Source organism: Homo sapiens, chromosome 1, assembly GCF_000001405.40.
Source record: "Homo sapiens chromosome 1, GRCh38.p14 Primary Assembly".
Classification (NCBI taxonomy): domain Eukaryota; kingdom Metazoa; phylum Chordata; class Mammalia; order Primates; family Hominidae; genus Homo; species Homo sapiens.
In genome coordinates, this window is record NC_000001.11 from 235,215,893 (window position 1) to 235,239,001 (window position 23,109).

Sequence of the window (23,109 nt, forward strand, 5' to 3'; positions counted from 1 at the left end):
AATATAATATTTATATTAAAAAAAAAACTTCCTCCACTGAAAATTTCAGCTTTATATCTCTATATGCAACCTTTTTAGGGATAATATACTTTATCATTCCTAATTAATTATACAGGCAACAAAAATAATATATAAATAGTGATATAAGCAGCACTATAATGCTTTTTTATTCTCCTTGTCCTTTTGTATAGTGGGGCAGGAGTGTTGGCAGGATGTTTAATGGACCGGTGGAAGTAAGTCCGTGTTCACGAAAGTATCAAATATATCAATTTTGTCTGAACTATAACACAAATTCCTCAAAAATTCTCAAGATTTATTCCTATTTTAAAGACTCAGTTACAGTCAAATATATAAGTATTTAAAAAATCTAAAACCTTCATGAAACCAGCTATAATCTGAGATATACATATATATGTATACACACACACACACACACACACATATATACGTGTATATATATATACTTTTTTTTTGAGACAGAGTCTCGCTCTGTTGCCCAGGCTGGAGTACAGTGGCGTGATCTCAGCTCACTGCAACCTCCGTCTCCCAGGTTCAACCAATTCTCCTGCTTCAGCTTCCCAATAAGCTGGGACTACATGCCACTACGCTCTGCTGATTTTTTGTATTTTTAGTAGAGATGGGGTTTCACCATGTTGGCCAGGCTGGTCTCGAACTCCTGACCTCAGGTGATCCGCCTGCCTGGGCCTCCCGAAGTGCAGGGATTACAGGCATGAGCCACCGCACCCAGCCTGAGATTAAAATATTAACAATGTTATTGAAAATAATATTTCTATTATAAAAAAGTAATTTTATTAAGGCTAAAATATCAAAAAAATTAACAGAAATGGGATTATCAATGATAAATTATTATGAGGAATTTTATTTTATATAGTAAATTAAAACAATTTTTTTTTGAAAGAATACTTGCCTAAGTCATAAGACTCTATCTTTGCATAGTGGGGAAAAGAAGCATATTTTATTGTGGCCACAATAAAAGAGATTTATCATGCACCTCAGAATCATCATATAAAAATGAGATATAGAATCAAAATTCTAAATTTTTTGAAATGACGACAAACTCCAAGCTGTATCTTACATCATAGAATACACTGAGTTGATGAATACAAACAATTCTAAATGCCAACAGCAAGCACAATCATACTTTAAGTAGTAGCCCAGGCAAATTTTCATTCAATCTACAACAAAAACCCAACACTCTTTTATTAATGAAATCAAGCAATCAAAAATTAAAAATATACATTTAATATCACCCTCAGACACAAACCAAATGAAATTCACTTTAATAATACACTGAAGTATAAAGAAAAAAACAACATAATTACTGGCAATCAACCAAAGAAAACTATTCTACTCTCTAAGACTTCAGTGGCAAATTCAAGACTAATGTGCTAAACCAGATGGAACACAGAATGCCAAGAAAGAGAGCCTCTGAAAGTATAAAATGCAACCAACATACATACAGGTTAAAAAAAATTAAGTTGATGCATACACTACATACATGCACTCATATACATACATACACTCACATACATACATACATACATACACACACATATGCATTTAAGCTAGTCATATTTTAGAGAAGAATATCTTGGGAAACGAAATGTATCAGCAAGGATTTTCATCTGAATTCACAAAGAAATATCAAATCTTCCCTACTTGATATTACACTCTTTACAATGAAACAAAAATTTTAAAAAAGATAGTGTATTAAGTACGTGCTATGGCCAAGGCACTGAACTAGACATTTTACATATATCAACTTCTTCAATCTCCCACATCTGGACAATGGAAGAAGGACACTGAACATTCTTGGTAGTAGCCTATTACTTAGAGAAAGTTTATATGCCAGAAAAATACCTATATATTAATTATCACTGTAAAATTTTCCACTGCAATTATCTAATAAAACTCAAAAATCAATTACAGTAAGCCCCTCTTATCTGCAAGGGATACAGTCCAAGATCCCCAGTGGATGCCTGAAACCGTGGATAGTACCAAACCTTATATATACTGTGTTTTTTCCTATACATACATACCTCTGATAAAGTTTAATTTATTAATAAGGCACAGCATGAGATAAGCAATGACTAATAACAAAGCAATTATAATATGCTATAATAACAGTTATGTGAATATGGTCTTGTCTCACTCTCTCAAAATATTTTATTGCACTGTACTCACCTGTTTTCAGACCACAGTTGACCACAGGTAACTGAAACTGTGGAAAAGCAGGGAGTACTATATAAACAGTCCCAACTGCAATGCTTCTAAAAAATATCTACCAAACTAGGGCAGTCACATCAGGAAAATTTTAGTTTGAGGTACGCATATACTAATAAATATCTGTAGTACATAAAAATCCATATAATTATACAGTTAAAGGGGTTGTTAAAAACCTACAAAATACAGTTTATTCTATAAAATAAGCAGAAGCACCAACTTAAAAAATTAGCAAAGAAAAAAATACAGATTTATCACAGTGCCTTGCAAACAGCAGATGTTCCAGAAACATCTGCAGATTTAAAAATCAGATTTTTTGGTAAAAAGCTGAATCTTTATTAAGATTCTTATCAAAATGATCTCCTTTAGCAGTACTTTAAACATACACTTCTACACATAGAAATATAACAAAGTATAATCAACAAACACTTTTACTACATTCTTCTAAACCCAGGATGTTTTTCTTCCATGTTTGTATGGTGCCACCAAAATTTCAGAACTCTGATCAATCAAAAGATTTTAGGCAAAAAGCTGAAATCTTTACTGTTTCTTAATACTTGAAATAGTCTCCAACAGCAGTAAGGCATACTTCAAATATATATTTTTATACACAAAAATACAACAAAGTATAATAAACATTTTTTACTATATTCATATAAGCCCCATTTTTTATTTTCCCCTTCCCTGTTCGTCTGCATACTGTGGCCAAATGTCAGTACGCTAAATGATTTTTTTTTTTTTTTTTTTGAGACAGAGTCTCACTCGATCCCCCAAGCTGGCCTACAGTGGTACGATCTCAGCTCACTGCAACCTCTGCCTCCAGGGTTCAAGAGATTCTCCTGCCTCACCCTCCTGAGTAGCTGGGATTATGGGCACATGTCACCACGCCTGACTTCTTTGTATTTTTAGAAGAGACAGGGTTTCGGTATGTTGGCCAGGCTGGTCTTGAAATCCCGACATCAAGTGATCTGCCCGCCCCGGTCTCCCAAAAGTGCTGGGATTACAGGCGTGAACCACCGCACCTGGCCTGCTAAATGATTTTTTTTTTAATTCATTGTACTTATTTAAATGAGACACTAACAGATATGTTTATGTTTTTTAAGCCTCAGAAAAAAGATTCAATGCCAAAGATTATCTATAAAATCCAGGGGTCCACTAGCAGTGCATAAATTACATTGTCAAATAATTCATCATTCCAAGTGACTAAAACAAACAAATGCTACTATCACATAAAATAGAACATACAATTTTTGGCCTTTTAAAACTTTAGTATTTTTCCACTCTTGCTTTTGCTTAAGAAATAAATACAACTCTCAGAATCTATAGCCAACATACAATATATAAAACATGGACATAGCCCCAAGTTTATATTATCAAGTAATTCAGCAGACCTAAAAAGTACTTTGCTCTAGCTAAAAATTTTATCAATTTCCATGATGAGAGCAAGAAGGGTGGATCAAAGTATGATCTTTCTCTACAAATTTCTATCAGTAGGGTCTCTGAAAGAAGTGAATGCTATTTAATTAATAAATGCCAATCACTCTATTATTTAATATTTTGTCAATTAATTTAGATTCATACATAAACACATACAAAGAGCAAATGATAAGAATCCATCAAGCTGAAATGCATCGTAACCAAAAACAATTTTCTTACCCAGATTTTGCTTTTTCTTCCTCAGCTTCTACCTTTATGTTGAGGGATTCATCTACCCTAGTTGTGTCATCATCTTTGTCATCCAGATTTTCATTGTCTTCTGGTTTTTTAATGTTAACTTCTTTTTCCTGATCAGAATGTGTAGGTATAGATTCTAATAAATTCTTTTTACTTCCCTAGAAAAAGATCAGAGGAAAGAAACCAACAAAAGTAAAAATTTTCAACCTATATCCATGGTTTATCTCTTAGCAACAGGAGGTATCAACCAATTCTAATATTAAAAGTTATAAATTACTTTTAAGAAACTCCTGCTACTTTAAAGCTCTAGACAAAAATAGCTAACAGCTATTTTGAAGTTATGATAAAAATTATACAAAAGTAGCACTTAATGAAGAAAATAAACAAATAATAAAGAATAATATTATACAATATATTGATTTTGGAACTTTATAGAGGATATGGAAAATATACCAAAGAAAGCAAAAGACAATTAACAATATCTGATTTACCAGAGAGGGCTTAATATTTTCTTTTCTTTCAATTTCATCCTCAATAGGCTTTTCTTCTCTTGGTATTATATTCCTCTCCTCCTCCATCTTTATTTCTTTGATCTCTGTTTCATTTTCCTCCTTAACTTTTATTTCTTTTACATTTTCACACTCCTTACATTGCTTGTTAACAACTTTCTCTGGCAATGCCATCTGAAATTCAATGTTGGCTGATCTACAGTACTCCTCAAAACCATATAAGTATCTGGAAACATGAAGAGAAATTACATTTGGTGAAAACATTTCAAAATATAACTATAGAGTTATTTTTAATGTGTATTCATTTCTTTTGTCTAAACTCTCAGATATTGAGCCATATTAACATTCTAATTTATTCTAGTTCTTTCTAATCTTTTCAATGCAAAAAAAAAATTTTGTCAAAAAATTCATTTAAAACACTGTGCTCAGAGTCATAACAATAACAGCTATTAAAAGTATTAGTAATAGCATCTATTTTTTGCACATTTCTTATGTGTGAGGCTGGACTCCTTAGTAAATCTCATTTAGTCACTACAGTAACCCTGGGGCACACAGCAGCATCCTTTTTTTGTTTTTTTTTGTTTTTTTTTGTTTTTTTGAGACAGCCTTACTCTGTTGCCCAGGCTGAAGTGCAGTGGCGCAATCTCAGCTCACTATAACCTCCGCCTCCTGGGTTCAAGCAATTCTCCTGCCTCAGCCTCCTGAGTAGCTGGGACTACAGGCGTTAGCCACTATGCTCAGGTAATTTTTGTATTTTTAGTGGAGACAAGGTTTCGCCATGCTGGCCAGGCTGGTCTTGAACTCCTGACCTCAAGTGATCTGCCCGCCTCGGCCTCCCAAAGTGCTGAAGTTACAGGCATGAGCCACCGTGCCTGGCCAAGCATTCCATTTTACAAATGAAGAAACTGAGGCTTAGGAGAATAAATAACTGGCCCTAGGGCATAAACAGTTAATAATTGGCAGAACTAGGATTCAAATGTGGATTTACTTGACTTCAGAATATTAGCTTTTTAACCTCTATGAAGTACTTGACAAATGTACTTAGCCACAAAAACTTTCTTCACAGAATTTCTCATAGATCTAGTATCATAGAATACACTTTAGAAAATACTATCATAGAATGACTACTCTAGTAAAATGTTCTGATTTCTTTAAAGAAATAATTAACCTCAGTTATAAGGTAAATTTCATCCTGCTTTCTAGGTAAAAATACTGAAGATAATCATATCAATTATACTAACTTACTTTTTATAAGCACATTTAACATTGTATCCTGCAGCTGAATTTAAGACAGGGATTCCAAGATCTTGGTAGACTTGTTTCCAAACAGCTCCACTTTCAATCTAATGGACAAAGTGAAACAAAAACTCTCAAATTAAAAGGTGTTAATATAATAACATTTTGATAGACACAGTATATATGAGTATATTTTTATATTTATTGGTCCTAGACTCAAAAGAATTTTTAAAAACTTGATAAATTCTAAATTTGGTTTAAAAATAAAGGTTTTAGTACTCTAACAAATATCAGAAAATTATAAATGTTGAAATATTAAGTCATTTGACTATTTTTTTTTTTTTTTTTTTTTTTTTTTTTTTTTTGGAGACAGGATCTTATTCTATTGCCTAGGCTAAAGTGCAGCAACAGTGGCACAAACACAGCTCACTGCAGCCCTGAACTTCCGGGCTCAAGGGATCTTCCTGACTCAACAACCCAAGTAGCTGGGACTATAGATGCACACCACCACACCTGGCTAATTAAAAAATTTTTTTTGTGGAGATGGAGTCTCACCATGTTGCCCAGGCGGGTCTCAAAGTCCTGGGCTCCAGCAATCCCCTGGCCTTAGCCTCCCAAAGTGCTGAGATTACAGGCATGAGTCACCATAACTGGCCCCATTTGACTTTTAAATAAACCCAGTTATGGAAAATGGAAAAATATTCAGGCTCTTAAATCAAAATTTTTAACAAAGAAATGGAGACAAACATTTTTAAAGGATTTATTATTTCGCATAAAATATACAGGCTAATAAATGCAGTTCTGCAGAAATTTGTAAAGTATTTTATTCCATAGAATATTCTCAATTGGATAAGTATCGTACATCACGTCAACCTTAAAATAATTTCTTCAGATCAGTTCAACAAACATTTCCTGCTTTAATCCCTTTATATTCTGAAAGGGATTAAGAATATACAGAATATTAAGACAGATCCCTGCTCTTAAGGAGCATACTGTCTAATGAAAAAGAGACACAGGAAGGATTTCCACCAATATGGCTGTGCTGTGACTCAGATAAAAAAAGAAGGTTTATGAAAGATTGACCAATTTAACAGTAATCAGAAAGCTGATATGAAAAAAAATCTTTTTTTTTTTTTTTTTGAGACAGAGTCTCATTCTGTCACGCAGGCTGGAATGCAGTCCAGCGGTGCAATCTTGGTTCACTGTAATCTCTGTCTCCTGGGTTCAAGCGATTCTCGTGCCTCAGCCTGCCATGTAGCTGGGATTACAAGCGTGCGTCACCACGTCTGGCTGATTTTTGTATTCTTTGTAGAGATGGGGTTTTGCTATGTTGGCCAGGCTGTTCTTGAACTCCTGGCCTAAAGTGATCTACCCGCCTCAGCCTCCCAAAGTGTTGGGGTTGCAGGCATGAGCCACCATGCCTGGCCTAAAAAATCTTTAAAATTTAAATTTTGTCTGAGGAGGCTAGCTGTACTTTCCACTTTATCTTCTTCTTAGGTTTTTACTGAAAAACTTTGTTTTGTTGTTTAGAAAAACAATTTCAGAGATGGCAGATACCTGAGAAAACATGTTACATGAAAAAGATGTTTCAGTTTGACTACAACACTCACATTATCAAATCCTCCAAGTTTGTGTACAAGTCTGAATAACTTAAAGAGATTCAAATTTCGATATCCAAGTACAGGTCGTTTGTTAATAGGTGTACCTGTTACAGAAAACACAAACTATATTAGATCCACACTACATTTTTAATTTAAAATTTCAAAAGATTCAAATAATACAAGTATTTATAGTATTTTATATATATATACACGTATATATATATATACACGTATATATATGTGTGTGTATATATACATATATATGTATATATATATATGAGAAATTATCTTGTTAATCAAAGACATGGTATCTACACATAAATAAGCCCATGGCCACTTTAAAATTTTTTAAATTTTAAAAACCATAACCAGATTCTTGAAACCTTTTATTTTCATTCTACTTTCTTCCCTCTGCTGAGGGAAGAAATACTAGATAACTGCTTCCCAATAAGAGTTACTTTTATGGCATTTTCTTTGTATTTTACCAATTTACTACTACTCTAAATAATGATTCTATAGTAAAGCTACATTTTTTTTTTTTTTTCATTCTAACACAAGAAAACGCAAGGCAAGGATGCTAAATCAAACAAACCATGAGAAAGTGGTAGAGGAGGTAACAGGGTAGGGGTACAATGCCTCATATGGCCATTTCTACAAAATATATGACTGGCTTAATCATATTTTTTCATTCTTTTCTAGTATTAGATTTTATTCATTTTCTTTGCTTTTTCATTTATCTTATACAAGAGCCTATGAAACAGCATACTTCTTAGGCCAACCCTCCATTCATGTAAAGAAATAATACAAGAATCAAAGACATTTTATATTGAAAAAGAAAATATACTTATATTGTGTTAGGCGTTGTTATCATTTATGAAAACTAAACATGACAAACAGAGTCAGTTTCTACTCATCAGCATTACAATCAGGGATTTAGAAAACGTTCAATTCCCAGAGTATTGTGGTGTTTCCAAACACTAATCATTCATTTTGCCCTTCCCTTCCAGCTAGAAAGCCTCTCCTTACTCCCTTACAAGCATCTTCCCAGAAAAGAAGAAAGTAGACTCTGACCAAGAAGATAAGCTAGAGAATAACAGTGTTGAGGTTACGGAAGGATTAGTTCATTACCCTAAGTTATTCTTCTTCCTTCAATCCTTCCGTGGCCTTAGCAGCTTCTGGCAGATTAAATAAGCTGAGCCAAGGCTCACTTTTGAGACTTTGTCACACTTCTTTATCTATTTCTGGCTTAATTCCCATTTTGCTACTGTTCTTTAGGGACCCATGGATAGGTAAAGGGATTGGCAGGACAGGGTAATAAGTGCATTTATGTGTCCATAGCCACAATATCTGTCAAAATGCTATCAAATTCCTCATTCTACTTGTTACGTGACAGGCGCTATGCTAGGTGCTGGTGATATCAGAGTCAAAAAGACAGCCATAATTACTGATGACATAAAGTTCAGTAAACAAAATTCTATTCTTATTTTTAAGATACTAATTATCTGTCCAAAACTTACCACGTTAATGATAAATAAAAAATACTCACCTCTATCTTCCATAAATTTGTACAATTGCTGAAGAAAGTTCTCCCTTTCTTCTGGAAATGGTTCTATTTCTTCCTAATTTTAATCACAGAAGAATATTATTTTCTTCAATTAAGCATTTTAATAAAACAAGCAGATTTCTTACCAATAGCAAAGACTAGTGTTCATTAAAATACTTCAAAGGCTTTTTACGTAATCAAAGTTACTCTTTTAACACTAAGCTGTTCAAAACCAGGTAAGTCTAGACATTTTATGTTTTATAGAGGAATATGCCTTAAAAAGTATCCCAATAGTTAGAATCCCCACAGTAAAAATTCCCATATGAGAAAAGGGACTAGCAAGACTGTTCGTGGTTTTGTTTTGTTTTGTTTTGTTTTTTTTACCATATGAGAGAGCTATTTTTCAAATCAGGATCACAGGTTCAAGAATACCTACTCTCAACTTATGCGAAACTGGATCAGAGTTAAACATCAAAACTAATTCTATTATTGCTCCTCAAGGTACTATAAAAGTATGGGTCCCATTAGCTGACTGCAAGTATCCTTCATTTTATGCAGCCCCACTGTATATACTTCAAGCTTACATAATCAGTAAAGTGGGGAACAAATTTGATCTACAATACCTGAAGATTCAGACTTAGGGAAATCTTCAAGTAATAAAATAGTTCCCCAATTTATCAATTACAAGGGAAGGACTAGCTTCTTGCTGCTGTGGCCAAGGGCTGTGGCAGCAGGGAGCTGGTCCTGAAGCAACCTGCAAGGAGCAGGGTAGTAGGTTAAGATTGAGGAACTCACCAATTCAATGACTTTCATCCATTCAACAAACACTTGAGCACCTGTAAGTGTAGGTACTATGCCAGGTGCTGAATCAAATAAAAGAAAAAATAGGCTATGGAGCCTACTGTTACAGAACATGATTAGGAGTAACTGCAGAGAAAATGATTCCAAATATACAGCTAGGCTTTACAGTTACTCTGGCTTAAATATACAGATTTGTAACAGTAAAAGTTAGGATATTCAACTGGTAATCTAAATAAATAAAAACATAGCATTTTTCAATTTGGAAAATCATGTGCCTAATGCCACTGCTTTAGCGAGATTGTCTTTTTAATTTAAAAGCTAGTACAACAAAGAAAGGTAATTTTTTTTTTAAAGCCTATGTTGATCAACTATTAGGTTTTCTAATTGGGCAGAGAAAAATAAATGACAACCATTAATTTGCTAATGATGAATCTGTATTTCTCAATTTAAACACACTCCATACATTCAGGTTTTGGTAAGGTGATCAAATACAAATCTAAGGACATCTATTTTCTAGATGTTATCTTAAATGTTCCCATGGTACAATATTTAACTTTAATAAACAGCACAATTTTTCCTATTCCAAAAACATTTAAGGTAAGCTTTTAACTCAAGAAAATGTTTACACTACACTACAGATTTGCTTTTACAAAAACACTTGTGAAAACACTAAGCACCAAAAGGTTTGGTAGCTATTTATCATCTGTTATATTTTACACACTATGACAGACACTTTAAGTATGAATACGAGTAAGACAGCATTCCTAACTTTAAGGAACTTACAAATTCGTGGGGAAGAAAAAATAGACAATAAATATAAATGACAAAAATATGTATAAGGAGCAGTAGTAATTCTTTTTTTGTTTTGTCTTGTTTTTGAGACAGAGTCTTGCTCTGTCGCCCAGGCTGGAGTGCAGTGGTGTCATCTCGGCTCACTGCAACCTCCGCTTCCTGGGTTCAAGCAATCCTGCTGCCTCAGCCTCCCTAGTAGCTGGGATAACAGGCACCTGCCACCACGCCCAGCTAATTTTTTTTTTTTTAGATGGAGTCTGGCTCTGTCACCCAGGCTGGAGTGCAGTGGCGTGATCTCGGCTCACTGCAAGCTCCGCCTCCCGGGTTGACACCATTCTCCTGCCTCAGCCTCCTGAGTAGCTGGGACTACAGGCGTCCACCACCATGCCCGGCTAATTTTTTGGTGTTTTTAGTAGAGACAGGGTTTCACCATGTTAGCCAGGATGGTCTCGATCTCCTGACCTCAGGTGATCTGCCTGCCTTGGCCTCCCAAAGTGCTGGGATTACAGGCGTGAGCCACCGCGCCCAGCCACACCCAGCTAATTTTTGTATTTTTAGTACAGACGGGGTTTCACCATGTTGGCCAGACTGGTCTCAAACTCCTGACCTCAGGTGATCCGCTAGCGTCAGCTTCCCAAAGTGCTGGGATTACAGGCATGACCCACCGTGCCTGCCAGGAGCAGTAGTAGTTTAGACTAGCAAATGAACTGGTGCTTTCCTGAGGTGAGGGAGGTGATGGTTCACAGGTTTCTCTTTAGAGAGATGGCACCTAAGTAGGGTTCTGAAAATTGAACAGGAATGTACCATGCTGACTAAGGAAGGAGGGGAGGAAAAGGTGGTGCCTACAGAGGTACTAGCATATGCAAAGGTGAGTAGCAGCAACATATGTAATTTGACATTGCTATAGCATAAAGTTCAAGGGGGAGGACACAGAAAGGGAAATGATGAGAAAAAATTGAGGCAGGAATTGGACTATAAAGGAGATTCTATATGAAAGCTTAACTTTTACAGTGACAAAAAGCTACTCAGGAGGTTTTTAGCAGCAAGGGAATGATTGCTGATTTTAGCAATTTAAATAGAAAGCAGTCAGGGAGAAGACTGAAGCAGGGAAATTTCTACATTATACATTGTCATTACAGATCACTACACCCTAAAATATAACCTCCAAAACAATCTCATTTCATTAATACTTTACTACAGTTAAAAGGCAGAATTTCATAACTTACCTAAAGTATTACATACTGACCAATTAATTTACTAAACACATTAAATACATTTCATTTCATGGTCAAATATAGCAGCCTTCACTATCTGCACCACTCATTAACTTTTACGAGGCTGTTCAGCAAACCATTAAAGAGTACCTTGTCACTGCCAGATCTAAAGCTCCAGGTAAAATAAAATCCAAAATTTGAGCTCTTTGAGCCATATTTTATGGCTTATTTATGATCTAATCAGAACTATCTACCCATTTGTCTTAGATAAAATGATTCAAGATTCTCTGAATCAAAGAGATATTGATCTTTACTTTTCTGCTATTTTTTTTTTTTTTTTTTTTGAGACGGGGTCTCCTACTGTCACCCGGGCTGGAGAACAATGGCGCAATCTCAGCTCACTGCAAGCTCCGCCTCCCGGGTTCAAGCAATTCTACTGCCTCAGCCTCCCGAGTAGCTGGGATTACAGGTGTCCACCACCACACCTGGCTAATTATTTTGTATTTTTAGTAAGAGACGGGGTTTCACCATGTTAGCCAAGCTGGCCTCGAACTCCTGATCTCATGATCTGCCCGCCTCGGCCTCACAGAGTGCTAGGATTAGTCATCCCAGCATGAGCCACAGTACCCGGCCTGATTTTTCTTTTAAATATTAAATGAAAGATGTATTTTATACTTTTCTGGGTTAATCAATAAAATATGGAGATGTAAGCATTTCATGAGGTGACAGCTGTCAACATGGTAATGAAAAGCATTTTAAAGAATTAGGTAGGTAGGTTCTTTTTTTTTTTTTTTTTTTTTTTTTAATAAGACAGGGTCTCACTCTGTCACCCAGGATGTAGGGCAGTGGTAAATTCACGGCTCATTGCAACCTCCACCTCCAGGGCTCAGGCCGTCCTCCCAACACAGCCTCCTCAGTAGCTGGGGCTACTGAGTGCACTGGGGCTGGAGTGCACTGACATGCCCTGCTAATTATTTTTATTTTTATTTTTGTTGAGATGGGGTTTCACCATGTTGCCCAGTCTGGTCTCAAACTCCTGAGTTCAAGTTAGCCACCTGCCTTGCCCTCCCAAAGTGCTACGATTATGGTCGTGAGTCACCGTGCCTGGCCTAGATGGTAAGTTTTTTTGTTTTTGTTCTCGTTTTTTTTTTTTTTTTGAGACAGAGTCTCGCTCTGTCGCCCAGGCTGGAGTGCAGTGGCGCGATCTTGGCTCACTGCAAGCTCCGTCTCTCGGTTTCATGCCATTCTCCTGCCTCAGCCTACCGAGTAGCTGGGACTACAGGTGCCCACCACCACCCCCGGCTAATTTTTTGTATTTTTAGTAAAGACGGGGTTTCGCTGTGTTAGCCAGGATGGTCTCGATCTCCTGACCTCGTGATCCGCCTGCCTTGGCCTCCCAAAGTGCTGGGATTACAGGCCTGAGCCACTGCGCCCAGCCTGGTGGATACTTTCTTAATCATCTCATTAAAAAAAGCATAGGAAGACTAAGACATGTTTTTGAGGTTATTAGGAAAATCAGGCTTAATATTTTCTATTTCACAAGATCATATATCTAAAGTAACCAAGTAAACTATCTGATTATGAGGATCTCAAATACAAGATTATGAAATATTTCTCATACTAAAAATACTTATATGAGTAATGACTTAATGCCAAATCCTAACCCACAAGGGAAACCCAACTGTTATTTATAATTTTAAAAGGTATCAACTGTTTTCACTTACTTCTTCTTCACTGCTATTATCCTCCTTTTCTTTTTCATCATCTTCCTCCTCCTCTTCTTCCTCTGCTTCACTGCTAGAGCTATCTTCTTTCAATTCAGTCTTCCAGTTAGCAGGAATAGTTCTACTTTTGTGAAATTCAAGTGCCTGTTCAAAGGCTGGAAACAGACCACAAGGTACATGAACTGAAGAAATTAAGACAATTGTTTTCTCAAAAAGTATTAAACACGATAAAGAAATAAAAACTACTGTGCTAATACCACTGACATTTATTGTTTGCTATGTACCAGAAACTGTGTTAAGTGCTTTTAAATGTAGCAATATATTTAATCCTATCCATCCTATGCATTAGGTAGTCATTTTATAGATGGCAAAACTGCCACCATTGGAAGATTACTTAAGTTTAAATAAATAAAAGAACAGCAGTTTTATTCTTTTAAACAAAGATTAAGCTTCACTAGTAAAAACCTTTAATACAGGAAATCATGTAATATCTTATGCAACAAACAATTATCAAACAGTATTAATACCAGGCACAGAGCCATTAAAATAAATATACAATACCTGAAAACTGACCACACATGATTTTTACATTTTCAGTTGAACTTCAATTAAAACTATGGTAACAATTACCTTCAACTAAAATTAGCTAGACACAATTATTCTCATTTTATAATATATGGGAATAAATTATATACCAAAAAATCTTGATGATTTTAACCAATCTACATAGCATATTACTGAATTCAAGGAATAAGGGCAAAGAGAAGACAACTATTTACAGTGCCAAAAATCAAGTGACAGATGCAATTACCACATATTCCTCAAATAAAACTACTGGAGCCTTGTGGTTAAGGATGTACATTCATTAGTGAGAAATACCAAACCAAAATTACTTTGATTCCTCAGTCAGGCGTGATGGCTTATGCCTGTAATCCCAGCACTTAGGAGGCCAAGGCGGGTGGACTGCCTGAGCTCAGGAGTTTGATACCAGCCTGGTCAATGGTGAAACTCTGTCTCTACTAAAAACACAAAAATTAGCCGGGCATAGTGGTGGGCCCCTATAGTCCCAGCTACTTGGGAGACTGAGGCAGGACAATCGCTTGAACCCGGGAGGTGGAGGGTGCACCGAGATTGTACCACTGCACTGCAACCTGGGCGACAGAGCAAGACTCCATCTCAAAAAAACAAAACAAAACAAAACAAAACAAAACAAAAAAAACAACAACACAAAGTTACTTTGATTCCTTTCTTCTACCATTCCCAGAAACTAATATTTTATTTACCAGGCAAAAGCTAGATTATAGTAACAGCTGACTACACAGTTCTCTCCCATTATTCTAGATTATTATGCCTGACTATAAGCTAAAAAAAAAAAAAAAAAAAAAACCAGAAAAAAAAAGGAAACCTATGGTTGGGCGCAGTGGCTCACACCTGTAATCCTAGCACTTCGGGAGGCTGAGGCAGGTGGACTGCCTGAGCTCAGGAGTTCGAGACCGGCCTGGGCAACACGGTGAAACCCCAGCTCTATTAAAATAACAAAAAATTAGCCGGGCATGGCGGCGTGTGCCTGTAGTCCCAGTTACTCGGGAGGCTGAGGCAAGAGAATTGCTTGAACCCAGGAGGCAGAGGTTGCAGTGAGCCGAGATTGCGCCACTCCACCCTGGGCGACAGAGCAAGACTCTGTCTCCAAAAAAAAAAAAGAAAAGGAAACTTATAACACAGAAGACACATGGGTTTATAAAAATAAAGGTCACAAGGAACCAAATATAACCATAAAAACATAATTTAAAGAAAAATTTTAAAGAGCAAAGAAAAATTTAATCTTCAAAAACACTTTAGCAGTTTTTACAGTACTTGTAATTTATTCCAAGATTATCCTTACCTTGCTTTAAAACAGCATCAGGCTTTGGTGCAGTGTCACTAGTAATTTCATGGACATCTTTTCTTGGAACTGAAGTACTATATATTTTTTTTAATTATAAGAGAAGAAAAAAAACCCAAAATATGACTGAGATTAATTAAGAATCCAGATGATTACATATCACAGAAAGATACTGAAAATATGGGAATGTTGACGTTTACAATAAAAGTGATTGCACACAGAGTAGCAAGTCAGAAATAACATACAAGACAGGATGTTAAAATACGTAATCATCTACAGAAGGATCCTACCATAAGAGCTATTTTATAAACACCAACGTGTTCCCAAATACCAGAGTCCCCTGCCCAAATGCAACACTGAAAACTTTTTTTGTTTTGTTTTGTTTTGTTTTTGAGACAGGGTCTCACTCTGTCATCCAGACTGGAGTGCAGTGGCACAATCTTGGCTCACCACAACCTCTACCTCCCAGGCTCAAGCGATTCTTCTGCCTCAACCTCCCGAGTAGCTGGGATTACAGGCACATGCCACTACCACCCGGCTAATTTTTGTATTTTTAGTAGAGACAGGGTTTCACCATGTTGGACAGGTTGGTCTTGAACTCCTAACCTCAACTGATCCACCCACCTCAGTCTCCCAAAGTACTGGGATTATAGGCATGAGCCACCACACCCGGCCAAAAACGATTTATGGCAATATAATGATAAAATGTTTGGGGCCAGCCATGGTGATTCATGCCTGTAATCCCAACACTTTGGGAGGTCAAGGTGGGAGGACTGCTTCATGCCAAAGTTCAAGACCAGGATAGGTAATATAGCGAGACCCAGTCTCCACAGACAAACTAAAAAAGTAAGCAAAGAATTAGCCAGGAGTGGTGGCATGTGCCTGTAGTCCCAGCTACTTGGGAGTCTGAGGCAGGGAGCTGACTGGAAAAAACCCAGGGCAGGGTTACAGTGAGCTATGATCGTGCCACTGCACTCTAGCGTAGGCAACAGAGCAAGATCCCATCTCTTAAAAAATAAAGGTTGAGCTGAGTGCAGTGGTTCACAACTGTAATCCCAGCACTTTGGGAAGCTGAGGCGAGTGGATCACCTGGGGTCAGGAGTTCAAGACCAGCCTGACCAACATGGTGAAACCCCATCTCTATTAAAAATATAAAAATTAGCTGGGTGTGGTGGTGCATGCCTGTAGTCCCAGCTACTCGAGAGGCTGAGGCAGGAGAATCGCTTGAACCTGGGAGGCGGAGGTTGCAGTGAGCTGAGATTGCGCCATTGCACTCCAGCCTGGGCAACAAGAGTGAAACTCCATCTCAAAAAAAAGTAAATAAAATAAAATAAATAAATAAATAAAGGTTGGACACAGTGGCTGACAACTGTAATCCCAACACTTTGGGGGCCAAAGTGGGCAGATCACTTGAACTCAGGAGTTCAAGACCAGCCTGGGCAACATGGCAAAAAAAAAAAACCCTACAAAAATTTGCCGAGCGTGGTGGCACACACCTGTAGTGCTAGCTACTTGGGAGGCTGCCAGAATACTAGTTACCACACTGTACATCAGATCCTGTACATTTTATTCATCTTACCAATAAAAGTTTGTGCCGTTTTACTAACGTTTTCCCATTTTCCTTACCCCCCAACAATTTAATATTAAGTCAATATTCAATTTCTGTGCTCAAATTCCTCTGATTATCCCAATTTTGTTAAAGTTGGTTCTACATTTTTTTTTGTTTTGTTTTGTTTTGTTTTGAGATGGAATCTTGTTGTTGTCACCCAGGCTGGAGTGCAATGGCATTATTTCTGCTCACGGCACCCTCCATCTCCCAGGTTCAAGCGATTCTCCTGCCTCAGCCTCCCTAGTAGCTGGAATTACAGGCGCCCACCACCATGCCTGGCTAATTTTTGTATTTTTAGTAGAGACGGAGTTTTGCCATGTTAGCCAGGCTGGTCTTGCACTCCTGACCTCATGATCCCACCTGCCTAGGCCTCCCAAAGTGCTGGGATTACAGGCGTGAGCCACCGCGCCCAGCCTACATACTGTTTTTGAAGCTAACTTTTCAGACTGGGTGCAGAGGCTCACGCCTGTAATCTCAGCATTTTGGGAGGCCAGGGCATTTGGATCGCTTGAGCTGAGGAGTTCGAGACCAGCCTGGCCAACATGGTGAAACCTTATCACTACAAAAAATACAAAAATAGCCAGGTGTAGTCCCAGCTACTCAAGAGAAATTGAGGTGAAAGGATAACCTGAGCCCAAAGGGTCATGGCTGCAGTGAGCCATGATCATGTCACTGCACTCCAGCCTGGGTGAAAGAGTGAGACCCTCACCAAAAAAATGAAATAAAGTAAAATAAAATAATTAAAAATAAAAATACCTTTCCCGAACTTGAAAATTCAAACATCAAATCTTAAAACATGATGACCTTTTTAAGGTATTTATACCCAATACAATTCTGTATAAAATATCTGGCTTCTCTAGTCATATAATTCTTAAAGAAAAATTAACAAATCATTTTCTTAACACTTACCATCCATATACAAGTAACCCATTTTAATCCTCAGACTACTGCAAAAGTTGAGTATTATCCAACAGGTATCACTATAACCATTAGACATAACTAGTAGAAGTATTGGAAATTCCTAATTAGACCATCAAGAACAAACCCTAAGGAAATAATGTCAATAAATACATCAATAGGCCGGGCGCGATGGCTCACGCCTATAATCCCAGCACTTTGGGGTTCGAGGCGGGCAGATCACGAGATCAGGAGTTCGAGACCAGCCTGGACAACACAGTGAATCCCCGTCTCTATTAAAAATATAAAAATTAGCTGGGTGCGGTGGCATGCACCTATAGTCCCAGCTACTCAGGAGGCTGAGGCAGGAGAATAGCTTGAACCCAGGAGGCAGAGGTTGCAGTGAGCCGAAACTGCACCACTGCACTCCAGCCTGGGTGACAGAGTGAGACTCCGTCTCAAAAAAAACAAAAAAATCAATAAAGTATTAAATACATTAGATATGGCAAATTTGCCTCAAATAACCAGCTATTATGTGGACAAGTGTTGACAAATTAGACAGTACTGAGTGTCTAGTTTGGAAAAGATTACCAAAATTAGTAAGGAAAAACATACTATAAGACTACAACACATTAAGATAATATGAAAAACAGTGACTCTTTGAAACATTCTGTATGATGAAAAATAAAAGCCTAAGGTAATTGGAAATAACTAATTAATCATTTAACATCCTAATTCAAAATAACAGCATATATTTATAAACTGGTTTTTCAAACCAAGTAAATTATACTTACAATTTTCCATCTTTGAAAGATCGAACAAGAATATTGTCCTTTTTTACAGCAATCTCATCACTACAATCAGGACAAACCACCTTTTAAGAAAAAGGGTGAAGCTATTATAACTAAAAGAACTCATAGATAGGTAAGTACCCACCATTTAAATCCTTTTAAAAAGTGTAAGCTTGAAGTTTAAAAACTAATTTTAGTTTGAGGGTAAACAGGCACACACACACACGTGGGAGCACACACAAGCAATTTTAAATTGGCATCCTACATCCTTCCAGCTGCTGGATAATCTAGAATTTTTGGCATAGGCAAGGCATTGAAAGCAGAAGCACAGCTATGACTAGGATGAAGCTGTGGACGAAGTTCTAGTCAGAAACAGAAAAAAGGTAGAGTTAGATCCTTAACTGAAGGGATACATCATGGCTAAGAAAAAAACAAGGGTCCAGAATTTCCAGAGCCTTGTAGGCCATATTAATTCTTAGGATAAAATCTAACATCTTTGTTGAAAGAATCTGAAACCAAAGAATGTCATAATAGATTTTCCTTTTAAAAATCTACTTTGGCTGCTATGAAGAAAATGGACCACGCAGAGGCAACTGTTCAAAGAAACTAAGCTACTGTGATCACCTGAGTGAGAGGTGGTGGCTTGGATGTAAAGTGGTGGCAATGGCAAATTAAAGGAATGAGAAATATCCAAGATAATTAGGGAAGTAGAAAGATGAACAATAAGAGGATGCTTAGTTTTCTGCCTTGTACAAATAGGCAGATGACAGAGTTATTCACTGTGAAAGAAAAACAACAAAAAAGGGCCAAGTTTGTGCATGAGGGAAGGGATAATAAGAGGAGTTTTGGGACTACTAAGTTTTAGGTGGCTAAAAGACATCCAAATGAAGACAGTGAACAGAAAAATCAGGTCTGGAGCAAAGCGTAGAGGTCTGGACTCAAGGATATAAATTTGAGAGCCCACAGCCTAAATATTAGGGGTCTAAAACTTGGGGCTTGTGAGCCAAATCCACTCATTACTTTTCCCTGATGAGCGAAGGATTTCGAAAACTGCACATGTGATAGCTTTGGCCAGTGATGACACTGGTGTATGAGTAAGTGGGCTCACTGTCCAGTTCTGCCACAGAACGACAATATGCATTTTATCCCATTCACCCATGTATGTTATTTTCTTGGTCACTTTATCTCTTTGCTATCTCTGCAAGGTGAAGCTTTAAAAGGAGATGAGATCACCGTAAAGAAAATACAGCGATACATTCTGAATCCTGAATTACAGCTTGAAAGGGTGATTAGAAGAGGAGAACCTGGTGAAAAAAACTGAAAAGGAGAACTGCATGAGCCATGGAATCTAAGATTTCCCCCTCTTAAAATGAAATTGGAAAATAAAAAATTGAGACTGAGAGTAAGTCTCAATTAGGATTAAACAATACTACTTATATTAATAAGCTCAGCACAGTCCTAGTCAGGGTAAATACTCAGTGCATGGTAGTTATTTATAGTTCCTGGGACTATGTAGTTGTTTCCTTTTTCTTTTTCTTTTTTTTTTTTTGAGACAAGGTCTCACTCTGTGCAGTGGCGTGATCACGACTCAATGCAGCCTCAACCTCCCAGGGTTCAATCGATCCTCCCACCTCAGTCTCCCAAGTAGCTGGGACTACAGGCACAGGCCACCCAGACCCAGTTAACTGTTTTCTTATGATGTTACTAAAACACTTTGAATTTACTCGATTTATAAAAATAACATAAATTAGAAACACAAATACTATTTGTGCGATTATATCAAGATTGGTCGATTTAGAACATAATTTTTCACTCTAGTTACCAAAAACTATCCATCACCGTCCAATGGATCTCAATTTTGGGAGGAGATAACATACATCAATAATTCTAAGAATTTAAAAACAACAGTGAAATGGCTGACTAAACAGATTACTAACCTTTCAATATTAAAAATCCTTAGATTTTTCATTTTCGTCAAAGAAACTTTTTAGTGATTATGGTGTGAGAAGCTTAAATTAATAACTCAAAACACTAATATTAAAAAATTTAATGTTCCTATTGAGAAAAAGACTTACAAAACAGTTGTGTGTGTGTGTGTGTGTGTGTGTGTGTGTGTGTGTTTGAGATGGGGTCTTGCTCTGTCACTCAGGCTGGAGTGCTGTGGCACGGTCTCAGCTCACTGCAACCTCCACCTCCCGTGTTCAAGCAATTCTCCTGCCTCAGCCTCCCAAGTAGCTGGGATTATAGGCTCCCGCCACCATGCTCGGCTAATTTTTGTATTTTAGTAAAGATAGGGTTTCACCATGTTGGCCAGGCTGGTCTTGAACTCCTGACCTCAAGTGATCTGCCCACCTCGGCCTCCCAAAGTGCTGGGATTACAGGTGTGAGCCGCCGCGCCTGGCCCACAAAACGGTTTTATAAAAAATATATATATATATATATATATATATATATTTTTTTTTTTTTTTTTTTTTTTTTTTGAGATAAAAGTCTTGCTCTGTCACCCAGGCTGGAATGCAGTGGTGTGATCTCAGATCACTGCAGCCTCCGCCTCCCAGGTTCAAGCGATTCTCCTGCCTCAGCCTCCCGAGTAGCTGGGACTATAAGCACGCACCACCATGTCCTGCAAATTTTTCCATTTTTAGTACAGAAGGGGTTTCACTATGTTGGCCAGGCTGGTCTTGAACTCCTGACCTCAGGTGATCCGCCTGCCTCGGCCTCCCAAAGTGCTGGGACTGCAGGTGTGAGCCACTGCAGCTGGCCTTAAAACATACTTTCAAAAGAAACTCACAAAGACTCCTAGTGCTTTAGAAAGAAAGAAAGAATCGCAAACACTGATGCTTTTTTTCAGCTTAATAATTAACCCAAAGTGTGGCAACTAACTTAACCCTGCTAATACTCAGTTTCCTTATCTCTACATCGGGATAAATAATAATACCTATCTCATAATAGGTGTTAGCACACTCCTTGTACATATAGGTATCCACTAAATGTTGGATACACAGGAAGGTACAAAGGTATTATAAAATATTTATATTTATTAAAACAAATAATTGTCCTCATTTTTCACTATCATTACAAGAGCTGACATTTACTGCATATTTAATTTGTGCCGAACACTGAACTAAGCAGTGGAGATAAAGAAATAAGACATGTTGACTAAAAAGGGTAAATGGACATCACAAGTAGAAAACAGTAAAAACAAAGGTAGTTCTATTGTTTCTTTTTCATTTGAGACCATGGTTACCTAGTTTAGCACAAAAACCACAAATATACAAAAGAGTTTATATATATTATGGACATAAGTTTTCATACAAATACATATAAACAAAGGACAGTGTTTTAATCCCATTTCTAAGTCTCTGCAATTGTTAGTCAATGAGCAGGAAAATGAGAGAATGAGAATAAAGAGTTAGCAGATTCTCAAGCACAAATTGTAGAGAAAAGTTTATTAATCATCACCGGGTGTGCTGGCTCATGCCTGTAATCCCAACATTTTGGGAGGCTGAGGCGGGCAGATCACCTGAGGTCAGGAGTTGGAGACCAGCCTGACCGACATGGAGAAACGCTGTCTCTACTAAAAATACAAAATTAGCCGGGCATGGTGGCTTGTCATACCAGCTACTCGGGAGGCTGAGGCAGGAGGATCACTTGAACCTGGGAGGCGGAGTTGCAGTGAGCCGAGATCGCACCATTGCACTCCAGCCTGGGCAACAAGGGCGAAACTCCATCTCAAAAAAAAAAAAAAGAAAAGAAAAGAAAAGAAAAAAGGAAAGTTTATTAATCATGAGAACAAAAAACCTCTACACCACTAAATGAGTCTATCTTTGTTAAATATTTTGAACAGAACTTGGTATATGATAAATGCATACCTAACAAATATGTGTTAATCTTGAGAACACAAAAATTTTATTGAATGTCATTAACATAAGGGAAAAAAGCATTAGAGGAGAATTTGGCTAATTATTTTTAGTAAGGGAGTGAGAACATACAAAACAGAGACAGAGAATAATTTTGACCCATTCTGTCTCTCGATATTTGAGAACAAATTAGTTGTCAAACGTGAGAATAGTACTTTCAAAGTGTCTTTTGTTTATCAGCGGATCTTCAGTTTATAGCTTATTAAATATGAAGTGAGGGGAGGACATATTTGTAAAAGATGTGGGCTGGGCTCAGTAGCCCCCACCTGTAATCCCAGCACTCTGGGAAGCCAAGGTGGGAAGGTCACTTGAATCCAGGAGTTTAAGACTAGCCTGGGCAGCATAGGGAGACCTCGTATTTACAAAGTATTTAAAAATTAGCCAGATGTGGTGGTCTCCACCTGTAGTGTGAGCTACTCAGGAGGCTGAGGTGGGAGAATTGTTGAGCCCAGGAGGTCAAGGCTGCAGCGAGTCAGGATCACACCACTGCACTCTAACCTGGGTAACGGAGTAAGCCTCTGTCTCCGGGGAAAAAAAAAAAAAGTGGATCTCACTGTTTGATGCAAATGACTCAATGGTCTTCAGATAAAATCATCATAGGACAATTCAGACATATCAAAATTTTAAAGAGTTCAAGATAATTCTTTTTTTTTCTTCTTTTTTTTTTTTTTG

At 37.3% G+C, this 23,109-nt stretch overlaps 1 protein-coding gene across 11 annotated transcripts in view; it reads right to left on the reverse strand.

Annotated features, from left to right (window-relative positions):
• The window catches only part of ARID4B (AT-rich interaction domain 4B), a 161,278-nt gene that overhangs the window by 48,991 nt on the left and 89,178 nt on the right, over positions 1–23,109 (reverse strand). For 9 of the 11 annotated variants that reach the window (NR_135074.2, XM_024447626.2, XM_047422531.1 and 6 more), the window contains exons 9-16: positions 18,521–18,600; positions 15,221–15,297; positions 13,339–13,493; positions 8,811–8,883; positions 7,274–7,368; positions 5,673–5,770; positions 4,410–4,653; positions 3,901–4,076 (exon numbers count right to left, since the gene is read on the reverse strand). Coding sequence is in view for 10 of the 11 variants with exons in the window: in XM_024447626.2 (XP_024303394.1) it covers positions 3,901–4,076; positions 4,410–4,653; positions 5,673–5,770; positions 7,274–7,368; positions 8,811–8,883; positions 13,339–13,493; positions 15,221–15,297; positions 18,521–18,600 (998 nt within the window). In the remaining variant the exon portion in view is untranslated. Of the gene's footprint in view, positions 1–3,900; positions 4,077–4,409; positions 4,654–5,672; positions 5,771–7,273; positions 7,369–8,810; positions 8,884–9,602; positions 9,671–13,338; positions 13,494–15,220; positions 15,298–18,520; positions 18,601–23,109 lie in introns of those variants that run through there. The other 2 variants (XM_017001472.2, XM_047422533.1) reach the window with 2 other exon arrangements.